Raw genomic sequence first — 4,648 nt, forward strand, 5'->3', positions numbered from 1 at the left:
TCACTCCATCCCCTGGGTTCAAGAGATTCTCCTCCCTCAGTCTCCTGAGTAGCTGGGATTACAGGTGTGTGCCACCATGTCTGGCTAATTTTTGTGTTTTTAGTAGAGACAGGGTTTCACCATGTTGGCCAGGCTGGTCTCAAACTCCTGACCTCATGTAATCCACCTGCCTCGGCCTCCCAAAGTGCTGGGATTACAGGCATGAGCCATTACGCTCAGTTATGTTATGTGTTTTTTAATCACAATTTATTTTAAGTTGTTTATAAATACACACACACACTATATATAGATATAGATATCTATATATATCTATATACACGTATATAGTTTTTTTTTTTGAGACAGAGTCTCGCTCTGTCACCCAGGCTAGAGTGCAGTGGCACTGTCTTGGCTCACTGCAGCCTCTGCCTCCCAGGTTCAAGCAGTTCTCTTGCCCCAGCTTCCTGAGTAGCTGGGACTACAGGTGCACGCCACCATGCCCAGCTAATTTTTGTATTTTTTGTAGAGACGGGGTTTCACTGTGTTGGCCAGGCTGGTCTTGAACTCCTGACCTCAGGTAATCTGCCTGCCTCTGCCTCCCAAAGAGTGGGATTACAGGCATGAGCCACCGTGCCTGGCCAAGTTGTTGTTATATTTTAAATAGAACTTAAAACCTAATACTGACTTTTCAGTCTTGCCAAGAGGGAAAGAAACAGGAACTATCATTTGCTGGTGACAGGTACTCACAGACAGACACACTGCTTCTGTAGAAGGCAGGTCAAATAGCAGCAGGCTCACCCTAGGGCTTGAAATGAAGTCCTAATTGAGCACACAGCACCCTGAAGCAATCTTCAAATCTCCATCACACCACACTCTTTTTGTCCAGGTTAATTAGATAGAGGCAGTAAAGCATGAGGCATTTATGTGCATTATCTTATCTAATCTCACAACAAAGTCACAAAGTGGGCATCTGTATGCCGGTGTCACATATGAAAAAACACATAACTGGTGAGTGGAAATACAAACTGTCAGCTTCCAGATGTTGTGTTTTTCTTACTGAGACTTCCAGTGCTCATCCATACCCCTTTCTCCTCATTTTCCTGAACTCCCTGAGGAAAACATACCCCAGCCACTCTTGCTGCCAGGCAGGAACATGTAACCCACGTAGGTCATCTGGGTCTCGGGCAGCAAAAAGCCCCGTGAGACTCTCCAGGTGCTCTTCCTTGGCTCGGGCAACTCTGGCAGCCATGTGCCGAGGTGGTGGGATTGGATATCTGAGTCACCTTGGGAACGGAAGATACCTCAGAGAACCCACTCAACCCACAGCAGGCTTTGTGTGAGTGAGAAGAAAACTGTTGCATGTTTAGCCACAGGGGCTTCAAGCATTCATGTTACTTCAGGATTGCTTATCCTGGTCTGCCTAATACACTTCTGTAGACTCAGAAAATGGTTGGTTAGGATTGGTGCCATGAGCTGAAGTATTTGTCCATGTAATAATCAAAAATGCTTTTTACCGGCTGGGCATGATGGCTCACACATGTAATCCCAGAACTTTGGGAGGCTGAGGCGGGTGGATCACTTGAGGTCAGGAGTTTGAGACAAGCCTGGCCAATACCGTGAAACCCCGTTTCTACCAAAAATACAAAACATTAGCTGGGCGTGGTGGCAAGCGCCTGTAATTCCAGCTACTTGGGAGACTGAGGTGAGAGAATCGCTTGAACCCAGGAGGCAGAGGTTGCAGTGAGCCAAGACTGCACCATTGCACTCCAGTCTGGGCATCAGAATGAGACTCCATTTCAAAAAAAAAAAATGCTTTTTACCTGAGCCTCATCACTCAAGTCCATGTTCATATTTTACAATCATCTAGCATCCTAATTACCAAACTTCTCCCCACCTCCTCCTTCTCCTCCTCTCTTTCCTTCTTCTTTTTCATAAGATGAATGAGATATTGAGTCTCATGTTAGAACAACCTAAATCAACTGGTTTTACCCTTCTCACATTGACATGGGATAGTGTTCTTGACCAAGCATGTCATGTCCTCCAAAGGCCAACCTTACTGTAGTTTTCCTAAAATGGGGTACTCAAATAAATTTTAGGTACTTCACAAATGATTTTGTAGTAGTTACATATTTATCTGAAAGTGTATTAGAAAAATATGCATAAGTATATAACATATGTATGTGATTCCATGCTTATTGCTGCTTACAACAATGCTAAAGGAGATATTTGTGTTTTTAAAGTAGATGTACGTTTTTAGAAAGTAAAAAACAGCAGGGCAGCCTGTGCACTGGTACAGCAAAAATCCTGGACCCAAAAAAAAGCCCTGAGCCAGGGTGAGAACCCTCTAAGCAGAGTCAGTGCTGGTCATGCCAGGTGATCAGCTCTCCCTCCTCCCCTCTAGCCTTTGGAGAGTATGATAAAAGGAACACCCTCTTGTCTGTGTTTCCTCCCACCACAGGGGCAGGTAGGCAAATCCTCCCTGCCCAGGCTTTTCCTCCTAGCACCAAACAGCTGTCCATGAAAGCCCACAGATCACTAGACAGAGCTATGAAAGCGTCTAAGAGCTAAATTCGATATCCGTCTTTTCTTAGTAGAGCTCAAGATCTCATTATCAAGAGTGGAGCTGATTGTTCAGCTGATCCCATAAGAGACCCTGCTGCTTTCTGCTGGCAGGGGCAGGAGGTGCAGGGGTGGAACCCTGGGCTAAGGCTGAGTCTCTATTGCTCAAACATTGCTGTAATGTTTAGCCTGGGTCCCTGCCAGGTTCTCAGGATGGGGGCAAGTCGTCCAACTGGTCGCAGTCTGAGCACCTGGGTTCTCTGGCAAAAGGTGGTATAAAAATGCAGAGATAGGCTGGGCGCAGTGGCTCACGCCTATAATCCCAGCACTTCGGGAGGCTGAGGCGGGTGAATCACGTGGTCAGGAGTTTGAAACCAGCCTGGCCGATGTGGCGAAACCCTGTCTGTACTAAAACTACAAAAAAAAATTAACCAGGTGTGGTGGTGCATGCCTATAATCCCAGCTACTCGGGAGGCTGAGGCAGGAGAATCACTTGAACCTGGGATGCGGAGGTTGCAGTGAGCCCAGATTATGCCACTGCACTCCAGCATGGGTGACAGTGAGACTCTGTCGCAAAAAAAAAAAAAAAGAAAAGAAAAGAAAAGAAAAAGAAAAAGAAAAAAATGCAGAGATAGGTAGATTGATCCCGCCTCCCATATGTTTAGGCGTTTAGCACAAACTGAAATACATGAATGGTTTGCCCTAGTCAGAACTCCAAAGGCTGCTTTAACATTAGCATCACTGCCTCTGTGCTATACTATATTTAGATAAAGGTGCCATCTTGCTTTCTGCATGATTCTCCCCTTCCTTCTGCCTTTAGTTTGACCCAGGGGAATTCACAACACATTCTGGGTTCTTATCTTCTGTAGAACGAGTTGCAGTTTCCTCGCCACCATGAGCATGTTGCCTCCCCCCTCAGCCCTTAGTAATTTGTCAAGTGACACGGCTGAGTCTTGGCTCTGTCTCCCTTCCTCTGGTCTTCCAATAACAATCCATAACTATTCTCTTCCATGGACCTAAATCAAACAGAATTCAGACCCAAAATGGAAAAGGAGAAACAGGGTCATGGGAATAGGACATTGATTTCCTCCCATTGGACACCAGCCTGGTCCAGAGCCAATCACCTGGGCCCCCAGGATGTGGTGAAGGGGAGGAGAGGAAGCTGTTCTCCCCAACCTAGCTGGTTTGGCCCACTGAATTTCTGCCATCATTCATAAAAGTCATCTGTAGGCCAGAGGAGTCCCTCTGGAATAAGAAGGGGGAAAAAAAAAAAAAGCAAGGGAAGCAGCCAAAACTAGAGATGTTTTGTTTGTTTGTTTGTTAAGACAGGATCCCACTCTGTGGCCCAGCCTAGAGTGCAGTGGCACTATCATAGCTCACCGCAACCATGAACTCCTGGGCTCAAGCAATCCTCCCACCTCAGCCTCCTGAGTAGCTGGAACTGCAGGCACAAGCCACTACATCCAGCTAATTTTTTTGTATTTTTTTTTTTTGCAGAGTCGGAGTCTCACTATGTTGCCCAGGCTGGTCTCAAACTCTTGGCCTCAAGCCATCCTCCTGCCTTGGCCTTCCAAAGTCCTGGAATTATATGTGTGAGCCACCCCACCCAGCCTAGAGAAGATTTTCCAAAGGAAATTTTCCCAAAACGGAAAAGGATAGACTGTTAATCTGTTACTCCACTTGGGAGCCTGGAGCGATTGTGAAAGGAGCTATGTAAGCAAGGACATTTTCAATTTGTAGGTGAGTTGGGTATTGAGGTGGAGAATATGTGGCCCAAAGTGGGAAAACAGGAGTAAGATAAAGAGCGGGAGAGAAAACTGTTGGAAAACCCCCTGGAATTGGTGCGACTTCTGAGCTAGCTTTGAGCCTGCTGGGGCAGCATGAATTTCTGCCCAAGCCCTCGGGGACTCTCACAGAGCACCTCGCCTGGTTGGTGAGAGCTGCTGTGGGGACACGGGCTGGTCGTCCTGTTGTTGTCTCAGCCTGTGCAGCAGAGCTTCCGACAGGAGAGGCAGCCAGCCGAGCGTGGGCAGACATGCCAGGAATGCCACAGAGCCGCGGCTTCCCTTTGCATCATACCTCCTGCGACAACCAATTTCATTCCCACCTG

At 46.9% G+C, this 4,648-nt stretch overlaps 2 annotated features.

Annotated features, from left to right (window-relative positions):
• Positions 428–597: an enhancer, noted in NCBI's record as "experimental_14056 CRE fragment used in MPRA reporter constructs". NCBI's record gives its function as "activates a minimal promoter by MPRAs in K562 erythroleukemia cells, with activity observed for the non-introgressed 10:64828874 or rs112603038 variant allele {active_cell/tissue: K562}" and the evidence as "EXISTENCE:reporter gene assay evidence [ECO:0000049][PMID:34662402]".
• Position 513: a transcriptional cis regulatory region, noted in NCBI's record as "Neanderthal adaptively introgressed variant 10:64828874 (GRCh37/hg19 assembly coordinates) or rs112603038 in the experimental_14056 CRE". NCBI's record gives its function as "modulates activity of the experimental_14056 enhancer by MPRAs in K562 erythroleukemia cells {active_cell/tissue: K562}" and the evidence as "EXISTENCE:reporter gene assay evidence [ECO:0000049][PMID:34662402]".

Source organism: Homo sapiens, chromosome 10, assembly GCF_000001405.40.
Source record: "Homo sapiens chromosome 10, GRCh38.p14 Primary Assembly".
In the NCBI taxonomy this organism is placed as follows: domain Eukaryota; kingdom Metazoa; phylum Chordata; class Mammalia; order Primates; family Hominidae; genus Homo; species Homo sapiens.